Source organism: Homo sapiens, chromosome 6 (genome assembly GCF_000001405.40).
Source record: "Homo sapiens chromosome 6, GRCh38.p14 Primary Assembly".
Taxonomy (NCBI): domain Eukaryota; kingdom Metazoa; phylum Chordata; class Mammalia; order Primates; family Hominidae; genus Homo; species Homo sapiens.
In genome coordinates, this window is record NC_000006.12 from 47,002,877 (window position 1) to 47,020,907 (window position 18,031).

General features: G+C 40.2%; 1 protein-coding gene across 3 annotated transcripts in view; it reads right to left on the minus strand.

Moving 5' to 3' along the window:
- The window catches only part of ADGRF1 (adhesion G protein-coupled receptor F1), a 44,625-nt gene that overhangs the window by 5,169 nt on the left and 21,425 nt on the right, over nt 1–18,031 (minus strand). The window contains exons 7-13 of one of the 3 annotated variants that reach the window (NM_153840.4): nt 17,855–17,913; nt 13,741–13,892; nt 11,805–11,968; nt 9,131–9,319; nt 6,069–7,442; nt 4,377–4,418; nt 2,941–3,000 (exon numbers count right to left, since the gene is read on the minus strand). In NM_153840.4, coding sequence (NP_722582.2) covers nt 2,941–3,000; nt 4,377–4,418; nt 6,069–7,442; nt 9,131–9,319; nt 11,805–11,968; nt 13,741–13,892; nt 17,855–17,913 — 2,040 coding nt within the window. Of the gene's footprint in view, nt 1–2,940; nt 3,001–4,376; nt 4,419–6,068; nt 7,443–9,130; nt 9,320–11,804; nt 11,969–13,740; nt 13,893–17,009; nt 17,622–17,854; nt 17,914–18,031 lie in introns of those variants that run through there. The other 2 variants (XM_047418639.1, NM_025048.4) reach the window with 2 other exon arrangements.

Sequence of the window (18,031 nt, forward strand, 5' to 3'; positions counted from 1 at the left end):
CTGGCTCTTCTTTCATTCCCTTCAGTCAACTATCATAGTCTCACTGCTCTGTTCAGGATCCCTACTTTACTCCTCCTTTAGCTATCTCTCAGAGGATAGCCTTGTCCATTACTTAAGAAAAACAAACAAAAAAAGTATCAAGGTTCGAACTCTCTATATCATGACACTGTAAACAAAAATAAAATTCTAAGCCCCCCAACCAACTGAATGGATCCCCCCTCTCAGCCAAGGAGATTTCAAAGAAACCTGAAAAACTAGTTGAGGTTATGATGGGAAGTGGGGGTCAGACATGCTTCATTGTAGTCTTCTCCCTTTGGAGCTCAGACACAAAACTGAGATCTTAAGACTGATAGAACAAATCTTTTGTAGCAATAAGATACCAAATTCCAACCAAACTCTAGCATAGCATCATGCAACAGATAGGTCCTGAAAGAAATCAAAGTATTTTACCACAAAATATATTTCTTTGACATATTTTGAAATGGCCCTGCAAAGCTGTCTCTTGTGGAAGAAATTTATATTCTGTAGAAAATTCCCTTCCCTTTCTAGATCTTTTTCTGATCCTGAAGAGATTAGCTGAGAGTCTATATCCTTTAAAAGGTCTGAATAGAAAACATTTGCATCTCTTGCATCAAAGGGCTTCAGGTACATAAAAAGAACCTTGGTCTACACAACCCCTTAGCTTAACCCAGAAACTCCTTTCTATTGATTCCAGGTCTTCAGATAATAACTTAACTCTTTCAACCAATTGCCAATGAGAAAATCTTTGAATCCATCTATGACGTGGAAGCCCTCCTGTCCCTACTTCGAGTTGTCCCATCTTTCCAGACTGAACCAAGATATACCTCGCATGTACTGACTGATGTTTATGTCTCCCTAAAATGTATAAAATCAAGCTGTAATTCAACCATCTTTGGCACACATTCTCAGAACCTCCTGGGGCTGTGTCATGGCTCATGATCCTTAACCCTGGCAAACAAACTTCTAAATTGATTGAGACCTGTCTCAGATACTTTTTCACCTAGAATCCCAATTTATACATGTTGCTCCTCCTGCATCAATGTGGTACTTCCTGTGTCAAGCTAAGGAGCAAATCCCTCCATCTTCAGTCCGACCAATCCCTCTGTCTTCCCAGGAGTCCTCTTCTGCCCATTATCCTCAGTCTCTCTCTTATTTGTTTTCAGAGTCTCTTCACTGGCTCACCCCTCCCAACATATGAACTTGTCACATCCTGGCAACTTCAACTCTAGCCTGTCACTGCTGTGCTGGGTCCACGTCTGGTTACCAATCTCGCTGATTTTGCTCACCAGCGAGTTTCTTGGCAGGAATATTCATCAAGTGTGATCTCTTTCTCACCTTCTCATCATCTGTCATTTGGGGTCCTTGGGGTCCTGCTTTTTCATTCAAACTCTCTAAGAAAATTATAAATGCACATATTTTCTTCTTGAAAATAATGTATATTTATTTTAAAACAAATGAGCCACCTAACCAGCAACAAAATCTCATTTTTGTCACCTAATTTGGAAATGAAATTGGGGAGAAGGTACAAATACAGACACTGCCTTCTCAGAAGTGTCAGTGCTTGATGTTAGAAACAGAGAGAAACTGTTAGGCATTCTTGCTTTTGCTTTTGTTTTATTTTACTTGGGAGTATTTTTCCTTCTTTGGTTTTCAAAGGAGAAAAATTTTGACTTTCTGCTTTGCAGGGTGGGGAGTGTCCCGTCTCATTATATTCACTAAAGGTTTTATCTTTTATGTAGTCACATGTGCTGTAATTTTCTCCTTTTCTTAAGTGTAGGTAATGACTCATTAGTTTCACAACTTCTGGTTCGAGTGATTTTTAGTTCTTCCAGACATAAAATCTAAATCCCAGAATGTGAGAACTTCTGCTTTGAATAACTAGTCCAACATTTATTTTCTACAGTTGAGAAAATTAAAACTTAGAGACGAAGTGACTTTCCTAAGATCACACAGTCAATTGGTTACGGAGTCAGAAATACAAGGGCAGGACTGGTCCACCTGCTCATGGGCCAGTGCTCCGTAATTCACAGCAGTGCTGTCTACTGAAAAATGCAGACCAAGGAAGACTTTTTAATGCCAGAGGAAAATTTCCTTATTGATTTTTATTTCAAAAAGTTATATTGTCACTTGTAAAAATCTCTCAATACCCATATAGGTTTGGATGCAGTTAAGTCAGTTGACTTTTATAAAATAAAGAAATTCTCTGCTTTAGAACTCCTTCTGAAAGGCCCTCAGTGCCTCGCTGAAAAACAAAAGTCTAAATAATATTGAAAACACAAAATATGTGTTCAAGCACTTTTGTTTCTAAATATACTATCCCCATATGGATTATACTTTTATGGCAAAGAATGATACAGAAATCCTCCATTTCCTTAAAAACTTGTGGGTTTGTAGACTTAAGAGCTAAGATTGCAAGTAACAGAATCAGTGATAGCAGCCTAAAAAAAGAAAATTATTAATACATAATACTTTTATGTATTAGAAGTTAACCAAATTTAAAGACAAGAATTTAACCAAGATCTCTCATTTTATCTGTCTAGAGAAGGAAAAATGGTTTACAGAAGGTTCAGAAAGTCAGATGAAGAAAAGGGCCTTGCTAGTTCTAAATATTGATAAGCTAGTCAGACTAAAGTAAATGCCATTGTTCAAAAGTATTCACTCACAAGCACCCACAGACTTCCATACTTGAGCATCCTTGTAAGTTTCCATGACTTCACAGTCACTCATTTAATCACTCATTCACTCAACAACTCTTTACTACCACTCATGTGCCAGGCTCCATGTCAGATACCAGGAATATAATGGTGAAAGAAATTCAAGGGGTTTACACAGAAGTTGGCTTGCAGCAAGACTGTATAAAGAGAAGAATGCAAAACTGGAACTTCATGTATTGGATTCATGGCAGTAGGAGATAATTACCTTTTCTGTTTGCTTCCAAGAACTTAAGGCAGACAACTTGTTGAACAGAAGTTGTCGCAGCTATAAGGGCAACAAAGAAATATTGAGGAGATACACATACAATCATACACAGACAAATCAAGAACAACTGCAGGTTGAAATGGTTATTTAATAGTATTATTTCCTAGAAGCAGTTAGTAGACCATGAATGGATATCTGGTAGAAAGATTATTTTCTTCATCTCTTTACCTATAAACAAAACTAGAGTTCAACAAAGAACAACAGTACCAAATGCCATACTCATTCCAATTTTAGACATTAGTAGTTGGCAATAATTGCTAAACTGAAGTGTATCTTTGAAGTGAAGAGTTTCCTAACCACATGAATGGTAAGACAAGGCAATTACTTTTAGTACAATTAAGAACAGCAAATTGCTTCTTTGTAGATAGCAGTTTGTTCATGTGCAAAATTGTTCCTATAATTAGCAACAATTTTGCTAATTATAAAAATTTTTTATTTTCTTATTAAAACAAAGACTATACATCTATTAGCTTATGGCCTTCACCTCTCCCAACAGAATTGTTTAATGCTTGGGTTTATGAAACAAGTATATTTAAAAATTTTTTTCTATTATCTTTCATTTAAACTTACTGTTCTTCACTGGGAATTTTATTTAATGTGAGAGGCTATTTATTTATTTATTTTTCTTCAACAGTATACTTTACTTTTTAAAATATTTTTATTTCCATAGGTTATTGGGGAACAAGTGGTGTTTGGTTACATGAGTAAGTTCTTTAGTGGTGATTTGTGAGATTCTGATGCACCCATCACCTGAGCAGTATATACTGCACCCAATTTGTAGTCTTTTATCCCTCACCCCCTTCCCACCCTTTTCCCCTGAGTCCCCAAAGTCCATTGTGTCATTTTTATGTCTTTGCATCCTCAAAGCTTATCACCCACTTATGAGTGAAAATATACAATGCTTGGTTTTCCATTCCTGAATTACTTCACTTAGAATAATAGTCTGTGAGAGGCTATTAACACTTACTGTTTAAAACTCTACAAGTATAGAAGTAGATATATATTTCAGCATATTCTAAATAAATGGGTAGAATAATTGAAAGAACAAAAGAGAATTCACCTGTTAGCAAAGCAATTTTGCTATGGAATTACTGCCATACCATAATTTAAATTAGAAAAGTTAAAGGTAAAAAGAATTCCCCTTTTTTCCGACAACGTTTACATTACATGTTTGATTAGTTCTGCAAGCTTTATCAGCAGTGACTGTTTAGTTCCTTTGTTTTCTGACTGAGCCTGACTTCTCTAAAAGCACAGAATTTTATTACAAAAGTACCAATAGTCCCACCTCTTATTATATGAATAAAGGCCTCAGAACAAAGGGGAGGGGGCCTAAGATGTCTAGGCTAGGGGTTAATGAGAGAAATAAATACACATACCTTACTGTCCAAGAGTATTCCAAAGCATAAGATAAAAAATCCCTTTAAAAAGAAAGGAATAAATCACATGTATTGTATTTTTCTTTTCCAAAAAAGAAAGCATTTATATGTAACACTATTCAATCACCCCACATTGAAACTGTTTTCTTGTCTGTCTCCTTAAGAGACTGTAGTCTCCTTGAAAGCAAGAACACCATGTGGCCTCCACAAGTGCATGGCACTATGCAAAGCACTCAAAAAAATGTTTTGTTGATGTCTAAATAAGCAAATGACCAAGCGAATGAAGTTTTGCATGTGGAGCTTCATTCTCCCCATCGTACCATCCCAACCCAAACAAATAGCATCCTTTTTTGTCTGTATCTTAGTCTTTCTTTAGACCAGGCATTTGATGTCTAAGCATCTATGACGGCAGCAGGCACAGAGATCCAATCCTATGGCCAAGTGGAGGGATTTGACCTATATCAGCACCCTTTCCTTCCAGTGCAGGTCTTGGGGAACCCTTGGTAAATGTTTTGGTGGATCTTGAATTCCTTCTCTCAGGCATAGCTCCTTCAGTTGGTGCTTGTTCAGACAGTGTATCACTATGAGACTGTACTCCTGCTCCCCAACAGGGGTGCCCTAAGCTTGTCACTGCTAGGGGCATGCTCTATGATTGCCATCCATACTAGCACCTGACTGTTCACTGGTTGCTGAATAGATGGAGAACCAACTTTTAGGAAACATCTATTGAGCATTTGTTATGTGCCAGACAATGCGATAAGTGCTAAATTATCTCATTTAACCCTCACATTTATTTGATGATGTAAGTATTATTATCTCTATTTAAAAGATGAGAGAATTGAGAGACAGAGAGATTAAGCAATGTGCTAGAGGTCACACAGTTTGTAAAGTGATGTATTTGAGCCCAGACCTATTTAAGTCTAGAGTTCAAATGTTTAACCACCACTTCCCTGAGTCATTGTCTGAGGTGGTCCAGCAAAACCTTCACTGAACTGGGACTGAAGGCTCTCGTCCAGATTCATCAAAACCTAATGATTGCTTTGTCCACCTCCTCTCTGAACACTTTCTGACTGTGCCAAGTAAAAACCCATTCTTTGTAGCAGAGATTAGCAAACTTTTTCTGTGATGAGCCAGGTGGTAAGCACTTTAGGCTTTGCGGGCTATACGGTTTCTTTTGCAACTACTCAACTCTGCCATTGCAGTGAAAGCAGCCATAGACCATATGTACATAAATAAGCATGGCTGTATTCCAATAAAACTTTATTTACAAAAACAGGCTACTGGTTGCATTTTGCTAGCCCCTTCTCTATTGCACCCTAGGAAATTCCTTTGCACCATTCAGAGTCAACAAGTACTTATGATGTATTTCCCTTTCTCTGTTTAATTTTTTCCCAGAGTTCTGCCTAAGAGAAAGAGAACTGAGTCAGCAGCAAGCGAGATTATTTGCCAGAAGAACTCTAATAGATTTAAAGCCCTGTAGTGGGTTACTGAAGAAATCCAATATTCTGCTTCAGTATGATAGTAACTAAGTAAGAAAAATATTTTTTTCTATTTATTGTTTCCATGCAGTTTTTCTGATGGTCTTGCTGGAGGCAGGGAGATGAGATAATCTCCAGAGTGGTTTTACCTGCCTGAGTTCTCTACTTATTCCAATCACTTGACAATACAATAGGTTATTGTTACTGTTCTCACCTGGAATGCATTGAGTAAAGCAAAAATAACATGCCAAGCCAGATTCTGGCTGTCCACTATTGTTCCTATTCCAAAGCCCCAGGTGAGCCCTAGCAGAGGGGTCAGAATGAGGAGGCTCTTCCCCACGCGGATGATGGTGGCCTTGTCATCCCGACTCAGTCTTTCCCCAACAGTCGGCCTCCAGAGCTTTGTGAGAACTAGCAGCACCACAACGAAGTTCACAGCCACAATAGCCAGTGCAGGGACAACAAAAGCCAGGAGTGGTTTGCTTCCATTGGACCAGTTAAGCCAACACACATCTTTCCTTTTGTAGGTATTGCTAGGTTGCGTGACAGCAATGGTAATGACAGATATAATGAGAGGGCACCCATAACCCAGGCAAAATCCAACAGCCATCATCAAATGCTGGGCCATGTGATGGAACACGAGGATGATCCGGTAAGCCAGCAGGATGCCAAGCATGAGCATCCAGAAGAACAAAGAGAGGTAGAAGAAGTGTGTAAAGAACACAGCAGCTGTGCAGACTCCAGAAGGGTTCACCGTGGTGTCCACTGTGGCACCAACAATAAACCAGACATCAGCAATCAAGAGGGACAGGGCTATGTTCACCATGCAAATACGACGTGTGTGAGAGGTTTGGCTTTTTTTAATCTGCTTCCAAAACAAAGCCTCGATGATCAGGCATAAAATGAGACTTCCAATGGAGATACCCAGTCCCACATAGGTGATCCATTTTACAACGGGGAAGATTGTAGAGGGGACAAAAGGTGACATCAATATGGAGAAGGAGGTCAAGTGAGTACATTGGCACGTCACGATGTCTTGAGTTTCATTCACTAGGTGGCAGCCTGCATCGTTCCACTGCAAATGACTGAAATCCCAAAACACACAATGAGGCTGGCTCAGGTTTGACTCTATCTTGGAAAAAAATAGGAAAACTTCATTTATGGAATAGTTTTGAATAACCGTGGATATCACAGGTCCATTGACCTGAGCATTTCCATTTTTGGAAACGGGTAGAATGTTCCCCAGAGTCAACGAGGCCATGCTGATAATAGTTTCTGGAAGGGATCTCTGGAATTGGTCTGACCCAATTAACACACGGCCTCTGATGGGAATAGATGTATTTTGGGGACACATTTTAATCTGATAGCTGTAACCCCTTTTGAGTTGGCTTTTGTTCACTGGAATCCCTTTCCAGTCAATGAATTTCCGAGAAAAATTCAGAGGAAGAGCTGTCGGAGGCACCAGAGTGCTGATGTTTTCTAATGTCTCTAGTAACCGTGAGCTGGCATACTTTTCTTCCCGCAGTAAGACTGTCCAGTTGGTTACTGAGGCTGAATTAAGGATATTGTCAGCTATACTGATGACATCCTGAAACACAAGGATGAGAGTCAGTTTGTGTTTTTGAGTAAACAGATAAGAGGACCAGCAGTGGATAGTCATTAGCATTAAGAATAGGAAAAATGCCCAGAGAATTGGCTCAGTCACGAACCACATTAAAACTCATCAATCAAATTTAGCTCAGTTCATCTGTACAGTAGAAGCTTTGGGCAAAATCTTGGGTCAGCAGAATCATGTAAGTCCCAGGGTGATCACCCCAGAGCATCTGTAAATGCACTGAGGCTTCAGGATGAATGAGAAAGAATCCTGCAATTTCAGCTGCACACATGTGATGTGCATTTCCTCCTCTCCGAGATGTTAAAAATGACTACACTGCTATTCAGGCTGAGGCTCAAAGATGCAGACACTACTTTGTACTGCTTTCCCACATTATGTTTGTTTTGCTAACACCAGAAGTTCAAAACTCACATAAGAGATGCTCAAATTTTTAGGTTTCTTGTTTACTATAGTTTTTATGTTTCTTGTTTCCTACTACATAAAGCAAAACAATTTTAAAGCCTGAACCCAAGCATTGAATTGTCATGGGTTTTAAGGGTCAGTCTTAGTTTGAGATTCATTTTCCAAGCAACTCCTTGGAAGTTGTTACTTCTTCCCACAGAACCCCTTCTCTTGCTTATGGGTCTGGCTCCCAGACACTCTGGCTGCAAGCATCTGTCACTCCACCTGAGTCTTACTCTGACCCAGCCCTCTTTGCCTTCTAGTCCAGAATCCCATGATGTTCTACTTCTACTGCCCCTAGAAACCTCTGTTTTCTTTTGCTTTGTGTTTGCCTGCTTTGTTTTCACTCTTCATTTTATTTTTAGCATTTTTGTGTCATTTTGTTTCAGTTGGTCTCTTGTAAACAACATGTGGTCAGGTTTTTAAAAAAACAAATTGGAGTATCTTTTCTTTAACTCAGGGAGTTTAACTTACTGATATTTAGTGTCACTTCTGAAACAATTTTAATCATATATAGTTAAGTATTATTGTGTGATTATTTAATGTACATTATATAATCCAGTTTTGTAAAACATTATATCCTTTAACATATAAAATGTATACACCCAAAATGTTTGGAAGGATATTTATTGAACAAATATTTATTGAGCACACGCTATATATCACTTGTCATTCTTCTAGGTACTGAGGTGATACCTAAAATGTAAGCAGTGTTTATTTTAAAGTGACCAGGCTACAGATAATTTATTTTTCTTTTTGCTTATTTGCACTTCCTATAGTGACCAAGTATCATTTATGTAATTTGTAAGTTAATCTTTAAATATCCAAACTAAACCATATTCAGTTGAGAGAAGGTGTTATGAAGGGAGTTCTTAAAATATACACTGTTCAAGTCTGAGCTTGCGGCCACAGGAAAGAAAAATTATAGATTGCAAACATGTTGAAAAGGCAGTGCCTATGTCACATAGTGCAAAAGCTTACCCCCTCCTCTAAGCTGGGTGCTGCCCAGGTAACCTGCATAAGAGCAGCTCTGTCTTCCTTTGAACACACACTATTGATCCCGAGTTCCTTGTATACCTCAGAGGAAGCAGTAAAGTTCACATAAAGACGCATACATGGCTTTCTGTCTTTTCCAATAGTTCCCCATATTTAAGGCTTTGTCATTCCTCCTACAGGATCAAGCATTTAAAGTGAGCCCTTCAAGCACAGGCAGACCATACCTCCATTGTTGAATTGGACACCCTGAAATGGCTGGCCAGTGACAGAGATGAAATATTGCTCAGAATCGACACCACCGAAGCCAGATTCCCCACTGTGGTTGATGGGTTTTGCCGAATGATGACAGAAAGATTTTGCACGAAGGATGACACAGCTGCCTCAGTGGCATTGCCTACAATCATACTGAAATTCTAGAAGCGAAAATGGTTAAGTTCTAGAAAACAATGACATGCTGTGTTTCATCAAATTTAAATCAGATGTCTTGGCCATATAGAACTAACATTTGTATGGTGTGTTCTAATGTAGGATAATTACATAACAATAGTAACAAAGGCTGTTATTCAGTGATTTCTATATTTTAGACATTGCACTAGGTGCTTTACCAGGGATTCATTGAATTCTTTCAACATCCTTTGAGGGAGGTACCATTATTATTTTCATTCATTGAATTCTTTCAATATCCTTTGAGGGAGGTGCCATTATTATTTTCATTTTATAGCTAAGGAAACTGAAACTTGCAAAGATTTACTAAAAATCATTTTCATATAAATTATTATCTTAATTATACAGAAACTCATGTTCAATGAGATTTAATGACCTTCCAAAGAGCACTCAGCGGAAAATGTTAGGGTAGGTCTACTGGTAGTAATCCTGTTATGTTCACCACGCTACACTGAGAATGCGTTGTAAGATGGGAAGAGAGAGAAACATACATGGAGATTTGACTACTGGGCTTGTGCCAGCCCCCGTTTTGTCACAAGATTTGTTTTTTTTATTTTTTTCGAGATGGAGTCTTGCTCTGTCAGCCAGGCTGGAGTGCGGTGGCATGATCTCAGCTCACTGCAACCTCTGCCTCCCAGGTTCAAGGGATTCTCCTGCCTCAGCCTCCCAAGTAGCTGGGATTACCGGCATGCACCACCACGCCCAGCTAATTGTTTTTGTATCCTTAGTAGAAACAGGGGTTTCACCATGTTGGCCAGGCTGGTCTTGAACTCTTGACCTCATGATCTGCCCGGCTTGGCCTCCCAAAGTGCTAGGATTACAGGCATGAGCCACTGCACCCGGCCCTAGATTTGGAATTTTACTTCTTTCTTGAGGCTCCCATCTACTTTTACTACACCAGGCTAACTTGGAAAGCAGCAAAGGAAGGCAGTCCCCTTCCACTCAACATTAAGTCCACTCAGGCGCCCAAGTGCCCGCCATTTTCCTTCTTGTTCTTCTCAACTGACAATGCTGTTTTCTGTTCAAGCCACCTGGGATCTGCCTGGAGCGAACTAGTCTCAACTATTGCTCATGTCCAGAATTGAGGCAACGAAGGCAAGAGCAAGAAGAAACCCCAGAATCTAATCCCCTTCCCCAGTTTACAGATGAGGAAACTGAGATCCACAAAGGGAGAAGTAAACATTCCACAGTCCTCTGATGAATACTATTCTGGGGTTTTCTACTGCAGCAGCAGAAGCAAGGTCTCTGGCTGGAATAGAAGTTCTGCTCAATATGGAAATCTACTTGCTGAACAGTATCTGTGAACTGGTCTTGGGGTCCTTCTTTTCTGTGACTTGAGTTCTTCTGATTCCTAGATATTTATTTCCTTCTTTCTGTCTTACTTGTCTTAATACTTGAACCTTCCTAAGAGAGCATCATGTGGAGGGCATAGCACCTGATGTGGTTTGGCTCTGTGTCCCCACCCAAATCTTATGTCGAGTTATAATTCCCAATGTTGGAGGTGGGGCTTGGTGGGAGATGATTGGATCATGGAGGTGGTTTCTAATGGTTTAGCACCATCCCCCAAGTGCTGTCTCATGATACAGTTCTCACAAGATCTGGTTGTTTAAAAGTGTGTAGCATCTCCCCCATTCTCTCTCCATCTCTCTCTTTCTCTCTCTCTCTCTCTCTCTCTCTCCTGTCACCATATAAGGATGTGCTTACTTCCCTTTCGCCTCCCACCATGATTGTAAGTTTCCTGAGGCCTCCCCAGATATGCCTTTTGTACATCCTGCATAACTGTGAGTCAAACCTCTTTTCTTTATAAACTACCCAGTCTCAAATAGTTCTTTATAACAATGTGAGAACAGACTAATACAGCACTGGACTAGGAATCAAGTGACCATGCTTCTAATTCAAAACTATTGCTACCAGAGGAACTATTGGCCCCTTGGTCTTTTGTTTTCTGATCTGCAAAATGAGGTTGGTAAACCAGATGCCCCTTAAGGTCCATTGCAGTTCAGTCATTTTATATGGTTCACCTTTGTCTGACCCACTCCTTGCCCTAATTTCTGGTATAGATATATCCTTACTTGTACTAAGCCTGCTGGCTTATGACTCACACCTTCACTCTTCTCTTTAATTCCCAGGTCTTCTGGACTTCTGAGGCCAGCTTAGTTGCTGCTCTACCATCCATCATAGACCTCCTCAGCAATGATACACTCCTCCACAACACCTCTGCCTGACAAAACTATCAACTCTGTCTTTTGAGCTGCAACCTAGACTCTGCTGCCCAGACGCTACCACTCATGCACGACTCCACGGGTTCACCAGGGTCTGATGTCATCCTTGCTCTTTGCATACTGGCCAATGATGCACGTAGGTATACTTACCCTCCACCTAGCCATGCTCACTGGGATATTGCCACTCTGAAACTCAAGACCAGGGCAAGTCTACACAGTGAAAATGCCTCACCTTGTTCAGTTCTTCAAGCAGAGAGAGCACACAAGTCTCCCTGATGACCTGCCACCCAGAGGACTCACACTTGGCTGTGATGTTTCCCCTGTAGCCACTGCTGCAGGGCAGGGTATATTCATCATCCTTGGACCCAAATCCAAAGACAATGTCATTACACTGGGCTGGAAACAAAAGAAAACAACAAAGAAAAATGATCCTAGAATATCCTGGCACTCTATATAAACCATGTAGTCATGTTCAAATGTTTTAGAACTCATTTTTGGAGATGAAATCCAGGCAAAATTCAGAAGTAAGAGAAGTTTGTCTTTGATGTCCTGCTTCATCCCTCTCAACATTCCTTACTCATTCCTGATGCCTTACCCTCCCTGAGGCTGACTCCTCCTTCCAGGTGTCCGATCTGTGCCAACAATATCACTTTTAATGGGCTATCAACTAGTAAGTATTAGGTGATAATAAGGAAAGATGTGATTACTCTCAGGAAATATTTTTACTCTTTAAAGGAACATTAGAAAGCCAGACAATTTTCCAGACACTATAGAATAAAGCAGTAATGTTATGGTTAAAAGATGGGCAGTTGCTATTTGTGGGTAGCACTTCCTACCTGTACCTCTTTAAGCATAGCTCACATTGCAACCAGTTGCTACTTTTGCTGCTAGCCTTTAATAATGCATTCTTATCATGATTGGAACTAGGAGATGGAAACATTAACTGGAAGATCCACAAGGGCTATGATTTTTTTTTTTTCAGATGGGGTTGCACTCTTGTTGCCCAGGCTGGAGTGCAGTGGTGCAATCTTTGCTCACTGCAACCTCTACCTCCCAGGCTCAAGTGATTCACCTGCCTCAGCCTCCCTAGTACCTGGGAGTACAGGTGCACACCACGATGCCTGGCTATTTATTTATTTATTTATTTATTTATTTTTGTAACAGAGTCTCGCTCTGTCACCCAGGCTGGAGTTAAGTGGAGTGATCTCGGCTCACTGCAACCTCCACCTCCTGGGTTCAAGTGATTCCCCTGCCTTGGCCTCTCGAGTAGCTGGGATTACAGGTGTGTGCCACCACGCCTGGCTAATTTTTTTTTTTTTTTGTATTTTTAGTAGAGGCGGGATTTCACCATGTTGGCCAGGCTGGTCTCAAACTTCTGATCTCAGGCAATCTGCCCTCTTTGGCCTCCCAAAGTTTTGGGATTACAGGCTTTAGCCACTGCACTGGGCCTGGCTAATTTTTGTATTTTTAGTAGAGTCGGGGTTTCACCACGTTGGCCAAGCTGATCTTGAACTCTTGACCTAAAGTCATCTGCCCACTCTGGCCTCCCAAAGTGCTAGGATTATAGACGTGAGCCACTGCACCCAGCCAGAGCTAAGATTTTTGTTTGTTTTCACCATTGCTGCATTTTAAGTGTCTAGACACTTTGGATTCTCAGTAAATATTTATAGAATAAATGTTGTTGAAAGAGAGTGGTACAAATTTTGGTAGGAAAGGCGTAAGATTGAATGTAAAAGAAAAAGATAAATATCTGAAGAAAAACAGTTTGTGTGTGTGTGTGCGTGTCTGTCTGTCTGTCTTTATATGTGTTAAAGACATAATTTCTTGGATTGTGACTTAGGAATATTGTCAGCCTCAGGGCTCTTTCAACATGTGTGCCAGTCAACTATTGCTGAGCCCTTTCCATCACAGCCTGCAGTGAAGTCAGTTCTCCACACTGTTTACACTAAGAGGTACAGATCAGATTTCCAATTAGCAAGAATTTGAAATAGTCAGTTGAAGCTAAGTTTCATCTTGGTGCTGGGGGAAACAGCTGCCTGTTTGTGCTGAAAGGCAGTTAGAGAACAATTCGTTATTCAAACGTCTCAAATCTACTTCCTGAGGACACAAATGAACTACTAATTAAAGGACTCTCTTAACCTAAGCAGAGGATGGGAATCCAGCATTACCTTTTCCGAACACTCTGAAAGAGCCGTCTTCTAATGGAAACAGCTTGTGAAGGGCTGTCTTAGCCTTCTCGGCAACATGTTCAATGGCTGACAGCAGTTCAGATGCACTGCTGGAGCCAACAACTTCATACCCAGCAACGATGCTTCCATTTCTGCAGTGATTATGGGGAAAGAGAAATGAGATTCACTACTTATTTATTCATTCACTCCCGGCCTATGCTGTGTGTACATGCCATGGGGTCCATAGGAATAAAGTAAACAGAGCTTACATTCTAGTGGATAAGGCAAGGCAAATAAAAAAACAAGTATCCACCAAAAATACATATATATATGATATATATATATGTATAAATACATCTGTATATATACAGATATAATTATGGGGCCCCACATTAAATAAAGCTGGTTATGGAAGGCTTTTTTGTGCTGTGGGTCTTTGAAGCTGAGGCCTGAGGCCAGCTATGCAAAGAAGAAAAGGCCAGCTATGCAAAGAACACTGGTGTGGAATGTCAGCACAAGTAAAGGTCCTAAGGCGGGAAAATGCCTGTGAGTTTGACAAGCTTAAATACTAGGATGATTGAAATTCAGCAGCAAGGGAGCAATAGCAGGAGATGATATTGGAGTGGTACCAGGAGTCAGATCTCATAGGACATTAGAGTTGCGATTTCATTCTTTATTAAAAAGTTTTCTTCTTTATTAAAAGGTAGTGGCATCATAAGATTTATCTTTTTAAGACCGTAAAGGCTGCTGTGTAGAAAACAGATGGAAGGGAAGCAAGCAAGGTACAGGGAACTCAGTTAGGAAAGAGCTGGTGGTGGCTTGAACTAGCTGGGTAGCTATGCATGTGGTCAAATTCAGGTTTTATTTGGAGCCAGAGCCATAGAACTTACTAATGGAGAAGATTTGGGATGTGAAAGAAAGAAATCAGTCAATAATAACTCCAAGGAATGGAAAAGCAAGTTTTTGTATATTCTTACCATGGAGTACTACTGGACTACAAAAAGGAAGGAACCACTGATAGAAAAATGAGGATGAATCTCAATGACATTATGCTGAGTGAAAGACGCCGAACATGCAAAAAAAAAAAAAAACTGGATTATTCTATTTATGTGAAGTTCTGGAATAGACTAAACTAACCTGTGATGATAAAAATCATACAAGTGGTTGCTTCTGGCGTGAGGGGATGGCATGGAAAGAGGCTGGAAAGCAACACAAGAGAACTTTTGGGGTTATGGGAATGTTCCATCTTGACAGGAAGGGACTTGCACAAGCGTTTTTCAAAGCTGATAGAGTCATACACAAAGTTTGAGCACATAACTGTGTGCAAGTTATACCTCAATAAAAGAAATTATAGCACAGGATGGCTCCAGGATTGGGTCTCTGCAAGTGGAAGGACAGCATTGCTGTAATGGAAATAGGGAAGACAGTGGGAAAAATAAGTTATAGGTTAGGAAGGGGAGAGTCAGAGGATTCCCAGTTTGGACACATGACATTTGACATCCCAGCTGGAAAACCAAGTGGAGACTGTCAAGTAGGCCGTTGGTTATTTGAGTCTGGAGTTCAGGGGAGTGCCCGAGCTCAAGTAATAAATTTAGAATCCATCAGCATACAGATGTGTTTGAAGACATGAAAGCACATGAGATCAATACATTAAGTCAATCCTGCAATAACTCATGAGATAAGCAGTGTATCATTCCCATTTTATAGATAAGAGAACTGAGGCCCAATGAGAAGTTGGGTGAAAAAATTATTAATTACTAATTGATCGGAAGTTCCGCAGCTCAAATTCTTACTACATTGAACTTCTGCTCACAATGTATAAATAAGTGCAGACACCCTTTTGCTTAATGATGGTCACAATACCTTTGTATTGATATGTCCATTCTATTGATTACAGAGTATTTTCCTGCTTGTTATAGGTTTGATTTAGTGAAGTTAAACCAGGTTCCACAGGTGTATAACTGTCCTGTTTGACAGATAAGTAAATAGAGTGAGAGATTAAGATTTATTTTAATCTGGGCATGGTGACTCATGCCTGTAATCCCAGCACTTTGGGAGGCCAAGGTGTGTGGGTCATTTGAGGCCAGGAGTTCAAGACCAGACTGGTCAACATGGTGAAACCCTTCTTTATTTTTTAAAATAATTTTTTTAAAAGAGATTTATTTTAAATCATATATGCAAAAAGTAAAACTTTAGGCTGGGCTTCGTGTCTCATGCCTGTAATGCCAGTATTATGGGAGGCCAAGGTAGGAAGATCACTAGAGCCCAGGAGTTTAAGACCAGCCTGAGCAACATAGCAAGACCTCAACTAATTAGCCAAGAATGATGGCAAGTGCCTGTGATCCTAGCTACCAGGGAGGCATAGGTGGGATTGCTTGAACCCAGGGGTCAAGGCTGCAGTGAACTGAGATCGCACCACTCCACTCCAGCATGGGCAACAGAGTGAGACCCCATATTGAAACAAAATGAAACAGAACAAAAGTAAAAAGTTGTAGTTTATAGACTTGTGCCTACTTTTACTGTGATTTGGTCTGCAGATTATTGGAGACAGCTTATAAGATATGCATGATAGAATATAAATTAGAAGTATAAATAGAAAACAAGGATCACAGAAAAGAAAAATATGAATATTGAAAGTATGATCAACTGTATAAACCTCAATATAAAAAAAAGCAGTGTTTTTGCTGGTATTGAATTTTAAAGAAAACTATTCATGTATGACTTAAAGGATAATGCCCAGAACAACATGTTTATAGCAAATGCTGTTGAAAATTTCCTATGGGTTGGCCAGATGCAGAGGCTCACACCTGTAATCCCAGCACTTTGGGAAGCCGAGGCAGGCGGATCACGAGGTCAGGAGATCGAGACCATCCTGGCTAACACGGTGAAACCCCATCTCTACGAAAAATACAAAAAAATTAGCCAGGCGTGGTGGCACATGCCTGTAGTCCCAGCTACTCGGGAGGCTGAGGAAGGAGGATAGCGTGAACCAAGGAGGTGGAGGTTGCAGTGAGCCGAGATCGTGCCACTGCACTCCAGCCTAGGCGACAGAGCGAGACTCCATCTCAAAAAAAAAAAAAAAAGAAAAGAAAAGAAAAGAGAAAATGTCCTATGGGTGTTTTTAAGTTAACTGTGAAAAAAAATCACAAGTCAATTTCTCTGACCTCTAAGCCACTTTCTCTAACAAGCAGACAGATTATTAATAGTTGGTAATTAATGTAAACATGGCTAACTAAACAACTTTTGGAATTAAGGCATAAACAAAAGGATAATTTACTAAATATTTCTTTATTTGCTGTAAACAATGACTACTGGGTTTTGAACTATGATGTATACATGTTATCTGTGCAAAGATATCTCACCCAAAGCCCCACTTCTGGCTCCGAATTATGAGGCATCATATCTCCTGTAGTTGCTGAAGGAGAAAATCCACCCTTCGACAACCCGCAACCCTTATCCCCAACCCTCACTTTTTCCCATCCACTGTCACCATGATCTCCTGCCTTCTTTCAAGTTTCTGCCCTACTGCTATTGTTTTGTAGTTCTACTCACTGACCCACAGTTTTGAGAATGCTTTCCAATATTTAAGGTCCTAGGCCAGATGTGGTGGCTCATGCCTGTAATCCCAGCACTTTGGGGGCCGAGGCAGGCGGATCACCTGAGGTCAGGAGTTTGAGACCAGTGTGGCCAACATGGTGAAACCCTGTCTCTACTAAAAATACAAAAAAAGTTAGCTGGATGTGGTGGCAGGTGTCTGTAATTCCAGCTACTTGGGAGGCTGAGGCAGGGGAATCTCTTGAACCCGGTAGGCAGAGGTTGCAGGGTTGCAGTGAGCCTAGATTGTGCCATTGCACTCCAACTTGGGCGACAAGAGTGACATTCTGTCAAAAAAAAAAAAAAATTTAAGGTCCTAAACTCATTTAAGTGAGAATCTAGGCTTTACTCTTCAGACTTTTTAAAGCATCACAGATCCTTGTTCACTTAGTAAAAATCCTACTATAAAGATGACTTCTGTCCTGTTTTCTGTCAGGGTCACCTAAAAACAGCACTCTGCCTTTTGCAGAACTGGTGCCCAATTCTGGGGATGCCCTTCTAAGACCATTGTGTTACTTACCGAAATTGGGTGACCTGAACCGACTCAAAACCTTGAATTCTTTCATATGCTTTTTTAAGCTTAGAAAGAGAACAAAGAACAATGTGTTAATTGTTCTTCCCGTACTTCAGAAAGACATTTGAGCAAAAATTGATACAGACAATAAATAAATCAACAGTAGCAAAGGAGCAAAGAAAA